Source organism: Homo sapiens, chromosome 17, assembly GCF_000001405.40.
Source record: "Homo sapiens chromosome 17, GRCh38.p14 Primary Assembly".
Classification (NCBI taxonomy): domain Eukaryota; kingdom Metazoa; phylum Chordata; class Mammalia; order Primates; family Hominidae; genus Homo; species Homo sapiens.
The window spans coordinates 74181940-74203420 of NC_000017.11; the positions used below are offsets into that span (position 1 = coordinate 74181940).

The 21481-nt window shown below is 52.1% G+C and overlaps 5 annotated features.

Annotated features, from left to right (window-relative positions):
- Positions 307 to 807: an enhancer, noted in NCBI's record as "H3K4me1 hESC enhancer chr17:72178385-72178885 (GRCh37/hg19 assembly coordinates)". NCBI's record gives its function as "activates a minimal SCP1, AML or CMV promoter by ChIP-STARR-seq in primed H9 embryonic stem cells {active_cell/tissue: H9 hESC(primed)}" and the evidence as "EXISTENCE:reporter gene assay evidence [ECO:0000049][PMID:30033119]".
- Positions 14490 to 14990: an enhancer, noted in NCBI's record as "H3K4me1 hESC enhancer chr17:72192568-72193068 (GRCh37/hg19 assembly coordinates)". NCBI's record gives its function as "activates a minimal SCP1, AML or CMV promoter by ChIP-STARR-seq in primed H9 embryonic stem cells {active_cell/tissue: H9 hESC(primed)}" and the evidence as "EXISTENCE:reporter gene assay evidence [ECO:0000049][PMID:30033119]".
- Positions 14991 to 15491: an enhancer, noted in NCBI's record as "H3K4me1 hESC enhancer chr17:72193069-72193569 (GRCh37/hg19 assembly coordinates)". NCBI's record gives its function as "activates a minimal SCP1, AML or CMV promoter by ChIP-STARR-seq in primed H9 embryonic stem cells {active_cell/tissue: H9 hESC(primed)}" and the evidence as "EXISTENCE:reporter gene assay evidence [ECO:0000049][PMID:30033119]".
- Positions 17971 to 18020: a silencer, noted in NCBI's record as "silent region_8926". NCBI's record gives its function as "represses an Ori minimal core promoter by ATAC-STARR-seq in GM12878 lymphoblastoid cells {active_cell/tissue: GM12878}" and the evidence as "EXISTENCE:reporter gene assay evidence [ECO:0000049][PMID:35858748]".
- Positions 20975 to 21478: an enhancer, noted in NCBI's record as "H3K27ac-H3K4me1 hESC enhancer chr17:72199053-72199556 (GRCh37/hg19 assembly coordinates)". NCBI's record gives its function as "activates a minimal SCP1, AML or CMV promoter by ChIP-STARR-seq in naive H9 embryonic stem cells {active_cell/tissue: H9 hESC(naive)}" and the evidence as "EXISTENCE:reporter gene assay evidence [ECO:0000049][PMID:30033119]".

A 21481-nucleotide genomic window follows, 5' to 3' on the forward strand; every position in this document is an offset into this window, starting at 1 on the left:
CTCATGGCCTCAGAGGCCTCAGTCTGCCCATTAGGGGGCCTCCTATATTGGAAGGCCTCTTGTATAGGGCCTCAGCAGGCCCTCCTGTTTCCCTGCAACCCCCAAAAAGGGCTGGAAGGCCTTCCTGGTTCCGCACATTTGGATCACGACCCCCAGGTCCCACCCAACATGCTTGGCCAAACTCCAAGCTCGGAAATGGCAGACAGAGTGCCTGGAGCCTCCGATTCTCCCAGAACTTACCCTGTTGCAGCCACATGGCCATGGAGTCATGAGTCTGGAAGGACTACAGGTCACCTGATCCATTCCCCTGCCTCCCTCCCAGCTCCAGCAAGGAGCTCCAGGGCCTTGGGTCAGTTGCTCAGCACCAGCACCAGCTTCCCTCCCCTCGTCCCATGGCCGGCAGTGATAGGGAAAATTCGAGTGACCCTTCCCAGGGGTGGGGACCCTGCCATGTTTGGGCCACCCTTCCTCCTCCCTGCTTGCCAGCTATCCGCTCTGTGTGCGGCACCCATGAGAGCGTGGCATCCACGAGAGTGTGGTGTGTGTGCTGCAGAGGCAAGCAGACCTGCATTACGTCTCCACCATGAGGGCGCTGCCGCTTGGCTCTTCTCAGACTCCGTTTCCTGAGCAGTAACTGAGAGACAATAATGACATTCCTCTGAGAGGGCTGGGCTGTTTAGCAACAGCAGCATTTGTGAAGCTCTTAGCACAGAGCGGGCACCTATTAAACCTAGGGATGATTATTGTCATCGTTTGTCATTATGTAGCCCAGCTCCAGGCTATTTTCATTTTGCTCCCAGCAGATCCCTGGGACCTGGTCCCTTCCCCCCGACCCCTGCCAACTCCCTCTCCAGTACATTGGCTGCCCCTGTGCAGATCAGAGGCAGGCAGCTGGGTACAGGTGCTCCCCACACCTTCTCCTGGCTGAAGACTTCTTAGGATTTTGGCAGGAAATTAATGAATCTTCCACAGGGTAAGAAAACAAACCCCTGGTCTCCGCTCCTCCTGGCAGAGACAGGGCAGCTCCTGGCACCCTGGATCCCAGCAAACTGGTCGCTGACTGACGGAGGAGGCCTGGTCTCTGCAGTGGCCAACTCCCAGCTGAAGTGGACGGGGAGACAAGGTCAGGAAGGCCAGTCCACTCCCACCTCCTCCCAGAAAAAGTCTTGAACAAGCTTTATTTTGATGGCTCGGTGTAGTGACTAATGCCTGTAATCTCATCACTTTGGGAGGCCGAGGCGGATGGATCACCTGCAGCCAGGAGTTGGAGACCAGCCTGGCCATCATGGTAAAACCCCATCTCTACTAAAAATACAAAAATTATCCGGGCATGGTGGTACATGCCTGTAGTTCCAGCTACTCCAGAGGCCAAGGCATGAGAATCGCTTGAACCTGGGAGGCGGAGATTGCAGTGAGCCGAGATCGCACCACTGCGCTCCAGCCTGGGCAACAGAGTGAAACTCCGTCTCAACAACAGCAACAAACAAAGTTTTGTTTTGAGGTACAGATTTCTAGAATTATCACATCCCCCCAATGCCTGTTTCTCATGAACTGACCTCTGCCTAGAACCGCCCCATCGCAGAACATAACAGACACTGATTTCCCTAGTGCTGGTTCCGTTGGGCGGGAGTCAGGACCTGAGCCCTGGGCCGCCTGACTTTCTCACCCAGGGAGCCTGGTCGCTCCTCCCCTTGGCTGGCACACAGCTTCTCACCGGACAGATGAGCTAATTCAGTGCATCTCCAGCTACCCGAGGTGCAGGACCTGTGGGTTTTTTTAATTACCAGTCTGTGACAGATCAACACCTTAAAATATTTTTATTAAGATATAATTCACGTACTGTAAAGTTCACTCTTTTAAGATGTGCAATCCCGTGGTTTTCAATGTATTTCAGAACGTTGCACAGCCATCACCACTACCTAATTCTGCAACATTTTCATCAGCCCAGAAAGAAATTCATACCCTTAGTACTTACTCCTCATTTCCTCCTTCACCCAGCCCCTGGCAATCACTAATCTACTTTCTGTTTCTGTGGATTTGCCTGTTCTGTACATTTCATATAAATGGAAGCATGCAATATGTGGCTTCTTTCACTTGGCACAATGTTTGCGAGGTTCATCCATGTCATTGCATGGATCAGAACTTCATTCCTTTTTGTAGTTGAATAATATTCCATCCCATAGGCTGGGCGTGGTGGCTCATGCCTGTAATCCCAACACTTTCGGAGGCCGAGGCAGGTGGATCACCTGAGGTCAGGAGTTCAAGACCAGCCTGACCAACATGATGAAACCCCATCTCTCTAAAAATACAAAAAATTAGCTGGATGTGGTGGTGCACGCCTGTAATCCCAGCTACTCAGGAGGCTGAGGCAGGAGAATTGCTTGAACCCAGGAAGCGGAGGTTGCAAGGTTGCAGTGAGCTGAGATCGTGCTACTATACTCTAACCTGGGCAACAAGAGTGAAACTCTGTCTCAAAAAAAAAATATATCCATCCTATAGATATACCACATTGGGTTTTTTTCTGGCAGGAGTGGGGGGTTTGTTTTGTTGTTGCTGTTGTTTTGAGATGGAGTTTCACTCTGTCACCCAGGCTGGAGTGCAATGGTACAATCTCAGCTCACTGCAACCTCCACCTCCCAGTTTCAAGCGATTCTCCTGCCTCAGCCTCCTGAGTAGCTGGGATTACAGGTGTGTGCCACCACACCCGGCCAATTTTTGTATTTTTAGTAGAGATGGGGTTTCACCATATTGGCCAGGCTGGTCTTGAACTCCTGACCTCAAATGATTCACCTGCCACGGCCTCCCAAAGTGCTGGGATTACAGGTGTGAGCCACCTTGCCCGGCCTAGATATACCACATTTTGTTTATCCGCTCATCAGTTGATGTACATTTGGGCTGTTTCCACTTTTTGGCAATTGTTAGTGATGTTGTAACAAACATTTACGTGCAAGTTTTGGTGTGATCATACGTTTTCAATTCTCTTGAGTATACACCTAGGAGTAGAATTCCAGGTTGAACTTTTTTAGGAACTGCCAAAGTGGTGTTACCATTACTGTGTTTGCAAAAACAAGATAAATATTAATTATTAGAAAAAATAAATTTGAAATAACATACAAAACGCAAGGCTAATTTTTATTATTAAATCAAAAGGCATAAAATTAGCTTGTCAAATTGCTACGACCGTTTCTAAATGCTTCCTCTCAGTTTCTAGACTTGCTTGGTCAATGATGGGTAACACACAGTTCTTAGACTGGCACTAGCCCTCGGACCACACTTTGAGTAGCCTGGACCGTCTGCATCCTCTCCACTGCCTCCAGCATAAAGGGCAGCCCCTTGGTGTGGGGTGCAAGCCCCATCCAACACTGGCCCCTCTGGCCTCATTTCACACCAGCCACACTGTGTGCCCGTTCTGTACCCAGGACTCCCTTCCTGGCCCCCTTGGACTGATTGTTTTGAGATGGAGTTTCAGGCAGATCACAAGGTCAGGAGATCGAGACCATCCTGGCTAACATGGTGAAACCCTGTTTCTACTAAAAATACAAAAAAATTAGCCGGGCATGGTGGTGGGCGCCTGTAGTCCCAGCTGCTCAGGAGGCTGAGGCAGGAGAATGGCATGAACCCGGGAGGCGGAGCTTGCAGTGAGCCGAGATTACACTACTGCACTCCAGCCTGGGTGACAGAGGGAGACTCCATTTCAAACAAAATAAAAGTGATGAGAAGCAAAAGCTGTGTAAGGCTGGTGGCTCCCCTGGTTCTTGGGTTATGAAGTGGCAGGGTCTCTCTTGAGCTGAGATTTGTAGTTCCTGGTTAAATGCCAGGGTTTAATGGGCGTGCTAGGGAAAATGTTTTTTAGTGAGTGGTAAATGTCTCCCTGGTGCCTGCGGTGGTAATTACTTCAATGGCACCATCTCTCTTTAACATGCTCCTGGCCAGGGGGAAGGGAGGGGCTCTGAACAGAGGGACCAACTCTGGAAGCTGTGGCCAAGGGCATCTCTTGGAGGAAGCCGAGGGAGGGAGGAGGAAGAGACAGAGGTGAGCCCACACCTGGCCCAAGCCAGGATGACAGCGGCCCGGGGGGCCAGGGTTCAGGGCAGCCAAGGCAGGGATGTGTGTCATGTGTCCGCGCTTCAGGTCTGATTATTGGGTCATTATTGGGTCTCTACCTGGATGAGGTTACAAGGAAAAAATTTTTAAGTTTTTATTGAATTATAAAACACATACCTAAAATGCACGGGTGATAGTGTTTATTTAGCAAGGCAAATTTTCACAAGGTGAACCTTACAGCAAAGCAGCTCCCAGAGCAAGAAATAAAACAGAACAGAACAACCCCCGCAGAAGCCCAAAAGTCCTTCCCAGCCACTCCCCACCCCCAAGGTGACCATTGTCCTGACCTTTGTCATCATGTCCGTTTTGCATGAAAACTTTGTAATGTCACTGGGGATGGTCAATGCTAAGGAAATCACATATATGGGGGACTCAGGGGGCACAGAGGAGGGACATGTCACACAACCCACAGCTTGGAGAAGACTCCAAGAGGAAGTGATGTCTGAACCAAGTCCTGGAGGATGAAGAGACGTGAAGGCAGAGGTGGAGAAAGGGGGGGTGCGTGCGTGTGTGCATGTGCACGTGTGTGCGTGTGTGCGTGCGAGTGTGTGTGATGTGTGTGCATGTGTGTGCATGTGTGTGCGTGTGCGCGTGTGTGCATGTGTGTGCACGCACGTGTGTGCATGCATGTGTGTGCATGTGTGTGCGTGTGTGTGCATGCGTGCGTGCGTGTGTGCATGTGTGTGCCGTGTGTGTCATCATCCTGGTTTGTTGGTTCCTTCCATCTCTGGCTATTAATCTTCTTTCCATTCTGCAAAATTACATGAGTTCAAGAAGAACTTAGGGGCCAGGCGGGGTGGCTCACACTTGTAATCCCAGCACTTTGGGATGCCGAGGCGGGAGGATCACCTGAGGTCAGGAGATTGAGACCACCCTGACCAACGTGGTGAAACCCAGTCTCTACTAAAAACTACAAAAATTAGCTGGGCATGGTGATCAGTGCCTGTAATCCAAGCTACTTGGGAGGCTAAGGCAGGAGAATTGCTTGTGCCCAGGAGGTGGAGGTTGCAGTGAGCTGCGATCGTGCCATCACACTTTAGCCTGGGTGACAAGAGCGAAACTCCATCTCAAAAAATAAAAAAAGAAGAAGAACTTAGGTTAGCTTGAGGTTTCTCAGTATCCACACTATTTATTGACATTTCAGGCCAGATGGTTCTTTGTTATGGGGTCATCCTGTGCACTGTAGGATGTTTGGCAGCACCCCTGCCCTCTACCCACTAGATGCCAGTGGAAATTCTCCTCCCAAGTTGTCACAACTAAAAATGTGTCCCAATGTTCCTGGGGGAGGGGGACAAAATTGCCCTTCTCTGTCTGAGAACCCCAGATTAGCTGAAGAGAACTACCAGTGGCCAAAAACGTGGTGAATAAAGGACGTGGGTGAGCTGTCAGGAGGATCCGGGCAGAGACTGGCCTACCCTGTGCCTGGAGGCAGGGAGATGAAGAGGTTGTGCTTGGGAGGGCCTGCCTGACCCCCAGCTCCAACTCTGGTCAGCATCTCCCAGCAACCAGTGGGGACCTAGGAGGTTGCAGGTGGTCAGCCCTAGGACTGGGAGCAAAGAGGAGAGACAGGGAGGTGATGTCTGAACCAAGTCCTGGAGGATGAACAGATGCAAAGGCAGAGGTGGAGAAAGGTGTGTGCGTGTGTGTGTGTGTGTGTGTCTGTGTCCCTGAGTGGCCCAAGCCAGGAGCAGGACTTGCTCCCTGCTCTAGGGAGATAAAGGGGAGAATATCACAACGGAAGGGCCTTCCTGCTGCTGAGATCGGATTTCAATTAAAATGATTAGCTCTGTTTATTTAGACTCCACAGCTGCATACAATCTATTGCGTGTTATTGCGAGTTTAAAGAAATAAAGGAGGGGCATGGGGGGAGGGGAAGCATTTCAGCCCAAATTGAAAAAGTCCTCCTGTAATTACGAGACTGGAGAATATCCGCGGAGGGGATCAATAATGGGAAATCTAAGTGCCACTGTTTGCCGAGATTACAGTTTTGAATCGCTCCATCTTGGATTTTAATTTTCTTTCTCATTGTCGCATCACCCTGAGCTGTGATCCCAGCCCCACCTCCCAGCTTCAGAGACGCAGGCAGTAGGGCTGAACCAAAGCAGGGAAGTCAGGGCACATCTGACCTTCTTACAAACCTTTTATTGCTGTGTAACAAATGACCACACACTTAGGAGCTTAAGACAATACACGTTTATTGTCTCACAGTTTCTGTGGGTCAGGAGCCTGTTGATGGTTCAACTGGCTCCTCTGTTCAGGGTCCTGAGAGGCAGCACTCAATCTGTCTCCTGGGACTGGGTCTCATCTGAGGTTCAGGGTCCTCTTTCAAGCACATGGGATCGTTGGCACAATTCATTTCCTTACAGCTGTAGACTTGTGGCAGCTTGCTTCTTCAAAACCAGCAGGAGAGAGGCTCTGATGTCCAGGTCTTCTTTTAAAGTGCTTACTGAGCTGGGTGCAGTGGCTCATGGGCTGGGGGCAGTGGTGCACACCTCTAATCCCAGCACTTTGGGAGGCCGAGGAGGGTAGATCACTTGAGGTCAGGAGTTCTAGACCAGCCTGGCCAACGTGGCAAAACTGCATCTGTATTCAAAATACAAAATTAGCCAGGCATGGTGGTGCATGTCTGTGATCCCAGCTACTTGGAAGGCTGAGGCATAAGACTCGCTTGAACCCGGGAGGTGGAGTTTGCAGTGAGCTGAGATCACACCACTGCACTCCAGTCTGGGTGACAGAGAGAGACTCCGTCTCAAATAAGAAAATAAAATAAAATAAAATAAAATAAAATAAAATAAAATAAAATAAAAAGTGCTCGCCTGATTAGGCCAGGCCCATCCAGAATAATCTCCCTTTTGATCAACTTAAAGTTAACCATTTAGGGACCTTAATGACATCTGCAAAACCTCTTCAACTTTGCCATATTCTTTTAAGAGATGAGATCTTATTCTGTCATGCAGCCTCCACCTCAACCTCCCAGGCTCAAGGAATCCTCCCACTTCAGCCTCCTGAATAGCTGGGACCACAGGTGTGTGCCAGCATGCCTGGCCAATTTTCTTTTGTTTTTAGTAGAGACAGGGTCTCACTATGTTGCCCAGGCTTGTCTCAAACTCTTGAACTCAAGTGATCCTCCTGCCTCAGCCTCTCAAAGTGCTGGGATTACAGGCGTGAGCCACTGTGCCCAGTCATCTTTGCCATATTCTATTAAATAGAAGCAAGTTTCATGTCTCACCCACACACAAGGGGAGGGAATCATACAATGGGTGTGTAAGTCCTTGGGGTTCATCGTGCAATTCTGCCTAACTCACCTTCCATTGAGCTCTCTCTCTCCAGCCTCTCCTCCCCACATTCCCAAAGCCAGGCCTTGAAAAGACATCCCTTCCTGAGCCATCCTCACCACCACTTGCCTCCCTAGTCCCAGCTTGCTGAACTGACCCCAATAAACAATCCAGCAGCCAGCCTTGATTGAAAGTCTTCCCAAATAGGAGAAGAAATGAAGAAAACAACCAAGAATATGACATAATCCTCTGACTTTCTGTCCAGTGCTCTTCCCTGTAGACCAGGTTTGCTCCCACTGGTCTATGGTCTCCTCTATGTCCCAAACACCAGCCAGGATTCCTGGCTGCCCTGGCCCAGCAGCCTTGACCTGTTACCGTCCTTCTCAGGCTACTGAGCACAAGGTGAGATGCAACTGAGCTCTTCCATGGTGGATGAGGAGAGGAGCCCACTGTCATCAAAAGACCCACACTTCTATCATGTTGTTGCCTGGCTTCCAAGTCTAAGACGGCTGCTTCAGCTCCAGCCATCACTCCCACCATCCAGCCAACAGGGAGGAGGAAGGGAAGGAAAAGGACATGTGCTATGCTTTGAGTGTTTGTCCCCTTTGAAACTCAAGCCGAAACTCATGTTAAAACTTAATCTCCGGTGGAACAGTATTAAGAGGTGGGCCTTTAAGAGGTGATTGAGTCACAAGGGATAAATTCACGGGTTAATGAGTTATCCTGGGAATGGGTTAGTTATCACCAGAGGGCTGTTACAAAAGTTAGTTTGGCTGTTTTTTCTTGTCCTCTCACCCTGTGATGCCCTGTGCTGCCTCGGGACTCCATATAGAGTCCAAATGAGCAAGAAGGCCCTCACCAGATGCAGTCCCTTGACCTTGAACCTTTCAGCCTCCAGAACTGTAAGAAATAAATGTGTTTTCTTTACAAATTACCCAGTTTCAGATATTCCATTACAGCAACAGAGAACAGATGCCAGCTCCCTTTACACATCTCCTTACACCCCATTGGTCATAAGTTAGTCACATGGTCACAAATGACTGCAAAGAGTGCTGGGATATGTAGTTTTATTATGAACAGCCCTGTACGATGGGAGGATGTAGGAGTGGATGTGGAGATTTCTGGAAATCTCTGTTCTAACTTCCCTCTGCCTGGCTTGTGTATGCAATCTAAGGGATGGGATGTTTCTTTTGAATCCAGATCCTTACCCTCCCTTTCAATAGCGTGGCCTATGGTTCCATTGCTATTGATGGTTTCATCAAACCCATTATTCATGCATTCGTTCCTTCACTCCTCTACCTACTCATTTGTTCACTAGTTCATTCATTTAGTCTCAGAAATTCTCTTCCTATGTCTTTCACAATACCGGGCATTTGGTCAGCATTCCAGACGTGCAGAGAATGGTACAGACTCTGCACTCAAGTTACTCAGAAGCTAGCAGGGAAAACAGCCAAGGAAATGTATCATTTTAGCACCATGGCATAGGCACTATGAGAATGTGCAGAAGTCATGTAAACACTGTGGCCCTCATCCATGTGGGGCTGTGTGCAAGGTTTGCAGGGGAAGGTGACACCCCATCTGAGTCTTGGTCAAACAAACTGGCTGGGAGCAAAAAGGAAAAAGCATTCCAGCCCACAGGACTTTGAAGAACAGTGCTGGCCCTGTCCGTGGTGCTGACCCACAGGCCCAGCCTGGAGCCCAGTTTCAAGCTGAGATCAAGCCAGTCCCTGTTTCTCCCACCAACCTACCCGCTCTAGGCTGGCACACAGGGGTGGGCTGGTGGGATGGAAGTGAGGTGGTATTTAGCTACATACTTCATTTTCATAATGACCTTCCCGTTTCTCCTCGCTTGTCAGTCTGTGACCATTAAATTCCTCATTAGCAAACGAGATTTGGATGAGCCCATTAAGATGAGGGATGGCCTCACAGTGCAGCTGCCTGGGGTGAGCTAGAACTCACCTTCTCCCTCCCTATTAGAAAACAATGCACCTCACATTCTGTGCACATTTCTCCAGGTCTACTACCTAGTCCACACAGGCCCCTTGGAGTTATTCAGAGGACCAGCTTAAGGGACGGCCAGGGCACAACAGAAAAGCAAACAGCAGGACAACTGTTTGCTCACACATATACCCAGAGCCACCCAATCAGGGTCTGGGCGTTTGCTGCTTCATGTTAAAGCTCAAATTCCCAAATGTGACGTTCAAACCCTTCCCAGTCCTCTCTCAGTCCACCTCTCCAGCCTCTTCTCCTATCCTCCCCAAGTGCCTCTGCATTTTGGCAATGACAGATGACCTGATGCTGTGGCATGCTGGAAGTGGTTCATACCAGCACCCAGCTTGTGAGAGCTGCTTTGTACATACTCAAAAGTTTTGCAAGGCAATTGGCAGCTTGAAATCAGCCGTGGTGAGAGTATTTACACCACAGGAATCAGCAAATGCCACAGTTAAGGTTTTCTGGCTTTTTTTTTTTTTTTTTTTTTTGGTCAGAAATCTGGATTTTAGGCCAGGCACGGTGGCTCACACCGTGCACTTTGGGAGGCCTAGGCGGGTGGACCACTTGGGGTCAGGAGTTCCAGACCAGCCTGGCCAACATGGTAAAACCCATCTCTATTAAAAATACAAAAAATTAGCCAGGCGTGATGGCAGGTACCTGTAATCCCAGCTACTCGGGAGACTGAGGCAGAATTGCTTGAACCCAGGAGGCAGAGGTTGCTGTGAGCCAAGATCGCGCCACTGCACTCCAGCCTGGGTGACAAGAGCAAGACTCCGTCACAAAAAAAAAAATAAAAAGAATGAAAGAAATCTGGATTTTAAACATTTGCCAACACACCCCTGTCTGCAGGCCTCTGAGCATGTCACGCCCTTGCATAGCCCCCTCGACCTTTAATGCTGTTCCCTCTGCCAGGTTCCACTCCTTCTTCCTGGAATGCCTCGCCAGTCCCTCTTCCCTGCCTGGTGAAAACCTAGACATTTGTTCAGGCCCCAGGGAGTCATCCAGCTCCCCATTCAGTGTTCCCACAGTGAAAGGGTCTTATGCCCTAGGCAGGACTTCTCGTCTTCTCTTCCACCTTAACCAGGACTTCTCATTCGCTTTCCATTTTGGGGACCACAGGTGAGCACCACCATGCCTGGGAAGGGAGCTAAAGGAAAAAGCAGAACTATGGGGGCAGGAAAGTTCACAATACCCCGGGGCAGAAAGTACAGCTGGTTTCATGGGGACAAAGAATATGTCCAGCAAGCAGCTGCCCTTTTTATTATTATTATTAGTATTATTATTATTATTTTGAGACAGAGTCTCACTCTGTCGCCCAGGCTCGGTTCAAGCGATTCTCCTGCCTCAGCTTCCCAAGTAGCTGGGATTACAGGCGTACGCCACCACGCCTGGCTAATTGTTGTATTTTTAGTAGAGACGGGGTTTCACCATGTTGGCCAGGCTGGTCTCAAACTCCTGGCCTCAGGTGATCCACCCACCTCGGCCTCCCAAAGTGCTGGGATTACAGGCATGAGCCACCGTGCCCAGCCACAGCTGCTCTTTTTCTAGGGCCACCTGCTCTCTGGATTCTGCATACAACACCCCTTATGGCTTCCCTCAAATAATCACCCTTTGCCCCTGGTTTGCATAAAATCTCAGGCCAATCAACCACAAACCAGAGCATCTCTGAGTCTCAGTCCCAACCCCAGGATTGTCCCAGGATAGTCTAATCATCTGAGGCCATCAGGCAGGGTGTGGAGCTGGGAAAACAGCCCATCTCCCAGGCTGGAGGGCAAACTCCATCAGCACAGGGAACATGTTTCTTCATCTCTAAGAGAAGATCATGTTCTAGCTAAGAGAAGGTGCTTAGTAAATATTTGCAGAATAAATGAGTCACCTCACAGTTTGGGTCCTGCTCCGACGAACACATGACCCAGCTGGTCCCTGGAGAAGGAGGCAAAGGCTTTGAGGCATTCAATAAGGCAACGCTGCACACTCAAGTCACGAGGCTTCCTTGCCCTCCAGTTACTAGCTGTGTGACCTTGGGTGAGTCACTTAACCTCTCTGTGCCTCAGAGGCCTCATCTATAAAATGAGGGTTTCAATTTTGCCTAACTTAGAGCCGTGGTGAGGATTACAGATGATCTTCCTGGAACAGCTGGAGTGGCTCCTGGCGCATAGTAGACACTCGACACAGCGGAAGCTGTTGTTCCCTGTTCTATGCTGAAACCACAGGACAGGGTCCCTCTCTGCTCCACCAGCAGGCTTCCTCCCCAGGTCTCATGTGACTCCAGCCAGCCACACACGCTGACCCTCTGCCAACCCAGCCAGACCTCTGTTCTCAGGGCGTTAAATGCAAGGGGAAGGCCACGTTGACAACCAACTGCAGCCACGCCTCCTCTGCCCTCCCCAGGAGCCTGGGCTGAAGACTTCATCTGCTGTAATTAACAAGCCAACTGCAGCTGTCTTGCTCCATTAATAGCAGATCAGCCTGTCGGGCGAGGGCTGACAGGGAGGTTGTGAACAGAAAGGTAAGAAGGAAGTGGGCCAGGCACGGTGGCTCACGCCTGTAATCCCAACACTTTGGGAGGCCAAGGCATTCGGATCACTTGAGGTCAGGAGTTAGAGACTAGCCTGGTCCATGTGGTGAAACCCCGTCCCTACTAAAAATACAAAAATTAGCCAGGCATGATGGTGGGCGCCTGTCATCCCAGCTACTCAGGAGGCTGAGGCAGGACGATCGCTTGAATCCGGGAGGTGGAGGTTGCAGTGAGCTGAGATTGCGCCACTGCACTCCGGCCTGGGTGACAGACCAACACTCCATCTCAAAAAAAAAAAAAAAAAAAAGAAAGACGTGGACAGGACCAGGGGCATGAAGCAGTGGCATCCAGCCTGCCTTTCCACCTCCACCCCTTCCCTTACCCCTTCTCCTCCCTCCACCCCTGAGGCTGACTTTCCAGAAGCCACAGGCTACAGGGAAGGGGAAAGATGACTGAGTGACGGGAACAGCCCAGACCCACCTCCAAAGTGCTCCTGACAGCAGGTGGGGGTTAGGAACAGAGCCATGGCTTGGAGGCCCAGACTGTGGAGAGCAGCCATGCCCTCTCCAGAAACCCTTCCTCCCCAAGACTCAGCCAGGCAGGAGACTGGTTAGGGGTAAGGGCCACTTCTACCTCCATTCCTCTTTTTCCAAAGATGTTGCGATTCCTGCGACATGGGAACACGCAGCTGCTGGTGAGGAAGAGGTGGCTTCTTACCACTTAGGTCAATGACAGCCACTTCCTCCCTTTTTAACAAGCAGGTACATCTCCTCCCCATCCCCCAGCATTGAGTCTAGATTCGCACAAATTGTTTTGTTACTGTTGCTTGCACACACCAGAGAAGAAAACAGAAGAAAGAAGGAACACAGTGACCCAGGCCCCACCTGTGCTGAGGGGCTGCTGGCCTCTGCGGGTGAGTTCCTGGTGTGTCTCCTTCCCCCAAATCCCTCCCGGGTCTGGCTGCTCTAAGCACGTGTGTGCTCACAGGCAGGTACTTGTGGGCTCGTCTCTGATGTATGCAGCACACAGACCCCTCGAGTCCCTGCTTCTAGCCAGGAGCCGTGTCTTTAATCTCCTCACCTTGGGAGGCATTGCAGCACTCTGGTAATTGCTTTTGGAAACATGGTCACCAGTTTAATTGGTAGAACTTGTCCTGGGCGGTGTAACACCACCAAGCAACCTCAGGCCTATCTGTTTCTCCAGATGCCTTGGCAGGCACGTGACTATACGTGCATGCAAGCTCACCTGTGCATTGGAAAGTATGTCTGGGCTCAGCTGTGCATTGGAGAGGAGTGTCTGGGCTCATCTGTGTGTTGTGCAGGCTAGCTAGAGTGTGTCTCCAACCTCAGCTAAAGGCATGGCCAAGATCTACGGGATAAGGGAGTGAAGGGCTCCTGAGAGCTAGTGGGACAGGATGGAAGAGCACCAGCCCAAGCCCTGGGGGACTTCTCTGCCTTGTGACCAGAAAGGGGAGAGGAGATCTCCCACAAAGCCATCCAGACACCACCTTTGATGGGCTCCTTGCACTGTGCTGGGGAGGGGGTGGGCTGTATATCTTGCTCTGTGCCCAAGGAAGACCGCCTTGAACCTGTTGAGCTCAGCCAATGGGGTGCCCAGGCAGAACACTGAGAGAAGGAAGGGAAGATCGTGAGCTCAGCGCATTCGTTTCCCTGAGAGGCGGCCACGGGCTGAGGGCATTGCTCGGCTGAAAGTCCCAGCCCCATCAAGCAGACCCCTCCTCACTGCAGCGCTGTCTTGGGTCTGGTGACCCCCTCCTCTCCTCCGTGGTAGTAACAGTCCCCGCTGACACTCGCTGGAGCTCCACACTCTCCTCTCTGGTGTCCTGCACCTGCCCATGCCTGCAAACAGACCTTTTATGAAAATTACCCTCAAAACACACAGTCTGGCTGTGCCTCCACTTCCTGCTAGGACCTCGAAGGATCCCTCAGGTGGGAGGCGAACAGCATTTGGGGGAGACAGCCCCTCCTCTCCTGATTGTTTCTTCTCTGGTTTCCTTCTCTGTTGGGCCCCCATGGACAGATGAGCCCAGGGTGAGGGTGGCACAAAGTTATCTCGGGGGGACAGGGACAGCCCTTCTGCCCCTCGAACATTTCCCTCCCAAGCCTCTGCACCAGCTCTCCCACACCCCAAGCCAGGCTGGCCAGCCCTAGGCAGGACACAGAGGGGACCCACGACCACTCAGGCCTCCTCACAAGGGCCGCTGGCCCACAGCTGGAAGGAGGGAGCAAAGTAGGAGGTCAGGCGCGTTGGCTCATGCCTGTGATCCCAGCACTTTGAGAGGCTGAGGTGGGCAGATCACCTGAGGTCAGGAGTTCCACACCAGCCTGGCCAACATGGCAAAACCCCGTCTCTATTAAACATACAAAATTATCTGGGCGTGGTGGTGTATGCCTGTAATCCCAGCTAATTAGGAGGCTGTGGCAGGAGAATCGCTTGAACCCGGGAGGCAGAGGTTGCAGTGAGCCGAGATCATGCCATTGCACTCCAGCCTGGGCAATGAGACTGAAACTCCGGCTAAAAAAAAAAGAAAAGAAAAAAGAAATAAGGGAACAAAGCAGCACCTGGGGGCTCCACTGAAAAATGAGAGGGGCAGAAGGCAGGAACCTCTGGCAGAGGGAAGAGCAGGTGCCCAGCGGGCAGGACGGGCTCACAGACAGGGTGAGCAGGAGGAGCAGACACACAGGCAGCAGCGGGGGACAGAGGAGAGGCAGGCAGGGCTGACTGAGTGTAGGCTGCGGGGCTCTCCATGGGGTCCACTCTTGCAGCCCAGGGAGCGGGTCAGGGACGCGGCTTCAGCCGTCAGATGCCAGAGATTCCCAGGAGCAGTTACCAGGGAGCAAATCGCTGTGCTCCCGTGGAGATGCTGCAACCCACCCGCCTGCGCCCACCCAAAGGACACTCCACCCACACGACCCGGGTTATGAGATCACCTCCATTTCACCCTGTGCCCCCATGCCACGCCCCAGCCCAGCCCACACCCACGCCCTCCATCCCGGCACTAACACCAGCAAGGCCAGAGGTCTGCCCCGCCCTCCTCTCCCTCCTGCAGGGGGTCGGAGCCTGGGGGAGAGAAGCCCGCCCACGGGGTCACCAGCCTTCCCCTGGGGGACTCTGCCTAGCAGAAGGACCCACAACCCGTCCAGCACTACTGCTAAGACGCTCGTGTCATTCACGCCCGGGACGCTCGTGATTTATGGACTTTAATTTCCCCAGATCCTCAGTGGCTTCCCTCCTTTCCCTCTGGCCTGTCAGGGTGTTTGTCTCCCAGCACCCCCAGCACCCCCCTCCCTGGTTTTTAATTTGAAGCATCTGTCTGGAGCATCCCGAGGAGGAGACGCCTGCGAGGCTGAATGCATGAAGCAGCTGACAGCTCTATTGATTTCCTCTCTCCCACCGCATAATGCAAGATATATACAAGCCGATAGGCCAGCCCTCTTTGAAGGGTCTGTGCCCTTTTTTCTCACTCTGATGTCCCCTCACCCTGGCACATGTTGATCTATAGGAGGGGTGCTTGTCCCTCATGCTGAAAATGCATTCTCCTCTGCCTCAGTGTTATTTTTCTCACTGTTGGTGGATGAGGCCTCATCTGTCCTTTCTGTGCTTGCAGATTGGACACCCAGGAAGCAGTTCTTGGAGTGAAAGGGGCCAGTAGGGAAAAGCAGGGGAGCTGGGGAGGTGTCATCTGTCAAAACTGACTCTGCCCCCCATGGAGGAGATGGTGCGGGGCTTTCGGAGTGGCCCTCCCCAGCCTCACAGGTCTGGGCAAGGAGGGCTGCTTTCCACTCCAGCCCACGCCTCCACCAGGTTGCAGGTTTTTTCCTCCAAATCCATTGGCAACTCTTGCCTGGGAATCACATTCAATTAACAGCCACAGAGCCGGCTGCTGGGCTAAGCATTTTTCTATTCTTGGTGCCTTCTGGTTTCTCATAAGCAGGGCAGCTGCAGACAGTTGTGCAGGCTGCACACAACTGGCCGCAGTGGCCTGGATCCTAGCAGGAATTAATACTCAACAGAAACTGAGGCTCAGAGCTCTCAGGAGACTCATTCAAATTCTCCCAGCCAGACACTGAATTTGAATCTAAGACTTCCTGCCTCCAGGAAGAGTTTTCCTCCCACCCTATCATACTGCCTCCTCCAGGAAGACCACCTAGATTGATACCACTCAATCTGATGCTTCTTTCATTCTTGTCACCCTGGAACTTATTTGCTATGAGGGTTTGCACATACTAGCAGGCTCCTCTGGAGGTGTTGGGTTTTCAGGACAAAGCAATATTCTACTCCTCTTTGTGAATCACCATCGATGTTACTCCTGGAGGACTTTCCTGGCCTGTATCACCCCTTCCCCAGCCTGTATCAGACCCCCATGGCCTCCATCTGGTCCCACAATTCCAAACACTTCCTACACCTAGGGCCCAACCTCATCACTGCCTCCCTTACTATTCTGTGTGTCCCTTGAGATGGGAACAGGGACAGGATCTTATTTGTGCATCTTCACCACTTAGGTACCTAGAGGCACCTTAAAGACGTGCCCCATGCCTCTCCTCCCTTCTCCCACCCCAGCTCCCCACCCCATCCCGAGGCTTCCCACTGGAAAAGGTGTCCCCACCCGCTCTGGGCTGACATCAGCTGCCTTGCCTCCCAGAGTAGGGACGAGGCTCCTGGTAACTAGAGCCGACTGCACCCCGCCTTGCCACCCGTTGAGCCCGGGCAGAGGCAGCACCCAGGGCTGTCCTCCTTACAGCATCCACAGAAAAGCTTTGAAACCCTAGGCTAGGTGCAAATAAGACAGTAGCCTGAGCCCATGAGTTACCTGGCCATAGGCACAGAACAGAGATATCCATTATGAAAAAGAATGTCCTCGTGGTTTTGGCCTTCTAGTCAAGCGGCTCTCAACCACAAGTGGCATTGCCCTGCTTTCCCCCGGGGACATTTGGCAATGTCTAGAGACATTTTCGTTTCTCACAATTGTGAGGGTCTAGCATTAACCAAGTAGGGGCCTGGGATCCTCACAAGGCTCAGAAGAGCCTCAGCCCCTAAACAAAAAGTGAAAGTGACCCCATCCACAAAGGTCAACCATGTGGGGCGTGAGAACCCCTGTTCCAGTCTGCCTGGCCTTTCTTCGTGGCTTCTAGCTCAGCAGCAGGGAGAATGTTAAACCTGTCTACCTCTCAGGGGCTCACAGACTCTTTGGGGGCCAGGGGGAGAGTGAGTAACCAGTATCCCTTTAAACTCACCATCTTCAGTTTCTAAAAAAACACCAGTGGGCCGGGTACAGTGGCGCAAGCCTGTAATCCCAGTACTTTGGGAGGCCAAGGCAGGAGGATCGTTTGAGGCCAGGAGTTAGAGTCCAGCCTGGGCAACACAGGGGACCCCATTTCTAAAAAAAAGAGGAAAGAAAGAAAGAGAGAGAGAGAGAAAGAAAGAAAGAAAGAAGGAAAGAAAGGAAGAAAGGAAGAAAGAAAGAATATAAGACCACATGCTTGTGGTCCCAGCTACTTGGGAGGCTGAGGCAGGAGGACCACTTGAGCCCGAGAGGTCGAGGCTGCAGCGAGCAGCGATTGCACCTCTGCACTCCAGCCTAGGCAAGAGAGCAAGGCTCTGTCTCAAAAAAATAAATAAATAAAGCACCAACTCACCCCGCCACCCGACTCCCCATCCTTTCCCAGGTAAATGAGTTCAGTGCCAGGGACCAGAGTCCCGGCCTGCTGACAACCTTTAAGGTTTAATAAACAACTCCCTTCCGAGATGGTTTAAAGGCCAGCCCTGCCGGCAGCCAAAGGCAGGGGCCTCTTGGAGATTAAATGAGATGGTGGATATGAAAGCACTCCACCAGGTATGAAATCGCATACAAATATTCCCGATAATTTATGGACATTTCTCTCCGCCTGAGCTCCCAGGAGTCGCGCGGAAGGGGCTATTCCGTTTCCAGCCGCGGCCTCAGCGCCCCCGTGCGGCCGCCAGTGGACACAGCACCCAGGGCGGGCCTTGCCTGAGAGGTGCGGGTTGGAGCTTTGCGAATCACCCCATAGAAGCTTCGCTGCAACCCTGCGAGGCGGGAGAGAGGCGACAGCACACACACTCCCACCCCCAAAACATACACACACGTGCACGCACACACACACAGAAACCAGGAAACTAAGGCTCGGAAGATCACCGCTGGGCAGTGAAGGAGGTGCTATGGACCCCAGGGATGGGCCCTTGGGTGACGATGACCACAGCGGGCATAAGTGAGGCTGGAAGGGGAACTCCTGAAGGCCCTGAACTCCAGCCCAACTCCCCCTCCAGCCTCTTCTCCCCGACCCCCTGCCCCAGACCCTCCTTACCTCTGCCACACTGAACTTCCCACTCATTCTCAGAAACACCCCGCATTCTCCTGACCCTGGGCTGACGTCAGCTCCCTCCCTCCTTCTGTCTGGAAGTCCTTCTCCGGGCAAGCTGCTGCGCACCCCTCTCGGAGGCAGCAGACTGTGTCCCCTCCTCCACGAAGCCTTCCAGGACTCCCTCAGGAGGAATTAGACCCCTAGCCTCTGGGCATCCTCCACAGCTTATTATGGGATCCCAACAGTCATGAGTGTTTGGAGCAGGAACCGCATTCTGCTTATTCCCAAGCCCAGCCCGATGTTCACCAAGTGAACGGAATGGATTGAATGGGGGAAAATCCTGGAGGTTGGGAAGTCTTCCCAGCCATGTGCCGTGCCAGCCCTCTGCCCACCTGCGAGCTGGGGCATTGGGGTTTTTTTGACCCATCCTGGTCCTCTTTCCAATGTGTCCCTGAAAACTGAAGAGAGAACTCTAAACCATTTGGCCTTCAGAGGTGGCCAGAGTGGGGCTGCTGGAGGGAGGAGGGGAGGCCCGGTGACTTCTGAGGCCCTCTCTGCCCAGAGCCAGCAGAGTGAGGGAAGGGAAGGAAGGAAAAGGGTTGGATTGTGTCCTGTAGCTCCGGACATGCCCTCTGAGCCTCTCCTGCCTCCAGCCATGCTGCAACACACTGCTTGAGACCCTCCCTACCGCCTCTTGACAACAGCAATAGCCCTCACCATCCCACAGCTGCCAGCACTGGACATTCCAGCCTACCAATGGCCAGAGCGACCATAACAGGCAGCCTGGGCCATCCTGCCCTCGAGTCCGGGGCTTTCCTCTCCTGCAGGATCCACCCTAGGCCCTGGAGAGTTTTGTTTCATGTGTATATGGGAGTCATCAGGGAGGCTCATGTCCAGGTCAGCATCTGCTCAAGGTCTCAGGCTGTGGCACTCAGGGCCTAGGCTCTGCCCCCCTTGGTCTCTGACAGTCCCCGGCCACTCCAGGACATTTGGGGCTCATCTTCCCATGGAGCAGGGAAGCGTGCCCTCTGGGCACCTTGCCTCACTTTTAGTAGCTGCAGCTTATTTTGCTATTTGTCCCCCTTGGGGAGCTGGAGGTCTTTGGTACTTGAACAAATTTGCCATTGTGTTTTGCTACTACACGTCTATGGTCCCTTAAATTATACAACTCAAGAGGGTGAACATCTGTCTCCCTGGGATCGCTGCCAAAAGGGAGGTGCAGCTCCTCCTTCTATCCCCGTCCTTGTCCTGTCGGGCCGGCAGTGAGGCAAGAAGCACCAGTCATTCATTCAACAAATAGTTTTTGGACCTACTACATGCCAGGCACTGCTTCAGGCACGTCAGTGTCTCCTTCTGGCTCTCCCTGAATTCCTCCCTCCATCCACCACCCCTTTATATGGTGAGTGATCTCAGATGCCGCATCCAGCCGGATCATCCTGCAATGTTAGCATTGAGCACTTACTGTACAGATGGGTACTGCACTTCGAGAGTTATCGACAGAATGCTGAGCCCTGTCCTTGCCTTCAAGGAAAAGTGGTAAGGTGGGGCGTAGTGGCTCACACCTGTTATCCTAGCACTTTGGGGGGCCGAGGCAGGAGGATCCCTTGAGCCCAGGAGTTCGAAACCAGCTTGGGCAACCTAGGGAGACCATGTCTCTAAAAAAGTTTTAAAAAATTAAAAATAAAAAGAGTGGTGCGCATGTATGAAAAGTTAAACACCTCCACGCAGCCTACGGAGAAGTGATTGCAAGGAACCACTGTATGAGCGGCAAGCAACATAAGTCAAGGGTGAAGGGTCCTGCCTGAAAAAGGGGAGGCGGGAGCTGAGCTCGGAAGGACCAGTGGCACTTGGCATCAGAGTGGACAGCAGAGCAAATACCTGGAGGGCAGAAAGTGCCCAAAAGTGCCCCTCGGCTTGGCTGAAAGGGTGGTTGCTTGTGGAGGAGCAGTGGGGTAGAAAAGACCAGAAAGGCATCGCCTGAGATGGGAAGGGCTGGCAAAGCCGGGCTCTGAGGTATGGGAAAATCCTTCTCAGGTCAGAGCTGAAGCACTCGTGCTTCTCAGATCGGATCCGACCTTCAGACATCTAAAATTAGGCTTCTGCCAATTAACTTTTCCCACTGCTAGAACCCCGACACATTTACAGTTGCAGAGACATCGTTCAGCTTCTTTAAAAGACTCTTCAGTGTTATTACAATATTTTTGTGATCTCTCTGCAGCAAGGTCTATTGGTTCCTGTATCTCCAGCACCCCCAGGAAGGTGCTCAGCCTGAGCTTGTTAATGGAAGGGCAGGAGGGAGGAAGAAAGGAAGGTTAAGTTAAATAAGTTCTAAGTAAAGCTCATGGCAAAGTGTTCTTTCCCTTCAGGAGGGCCGCTCTGTAATAATAAGCACGAAGCAATTACATTCTGCCGTGTGGTTATTAAATTTTGGGGAAACAAATATAATAAAATGTAGACATTTGTAGGGAGGTTGGAGATAAAATAAAAATGGAGGATAAAAATAAAATCGATAACCGCAGGTTGCTCAGAGTCTAACCTAAAGGATGTTAGGGGGAGAAAGGAACGCTGCCCTCCCCAGGCTTCCCAAGCCTCCCCAGGAAGTGGCCGGAGCCTGGGCTGGGGAATCTGCCCAGCAGGGGTTCAACTCCTGAGTCCACCTCTCCCCTCTGGGGCCGCGGTGAGACCCCGCAAGAGCAGGAGCACTCCCACTCACCATCAGCCCTAGGGGTGAGACACTTAGCCAGGGGCAGCGCTGCGACAGCTTTTGGAAGTATTATTATTATTATCATTATTGCTAGAGATGGGGGGGGGGAGGTCTTACTAGGTTGCCCAGGCTGCTCTCGAACTCCTGGCCTCAAGCGATCCGCCTGCCTCGGCCTCCCCCAGTGCTGGGGTTATAAGCGTGAGCCACCGCGCCCGGCCTTAACTTGCTTTCATTGTACACCAATTCCTAAGGGAATTGGAAGCAGCAAGCAGGAACGCTCCCTCTTATGGAAAGAAGAGCCCAGGGCCCTGGTCATGACAGGTTCAGGTGCCAAAAAGGAGACGGGAAGAAAACGTGAGGCGCCAGAACAACAGGTTCTACAAGGTGCACACGAGGGTCCCTGCCATTGAATGAAGAATTTTCTGTGTGGATGCCCCTGCGCAGGTCCAATGAAAGCCGTGGAGAATAAGCGTTAGCTCTTCAAACTGAATCTGAGCTAAAACCTAGCAAAGCCAGGCTGGGGTCTGAGGGGTTGCGGGGGAAGACA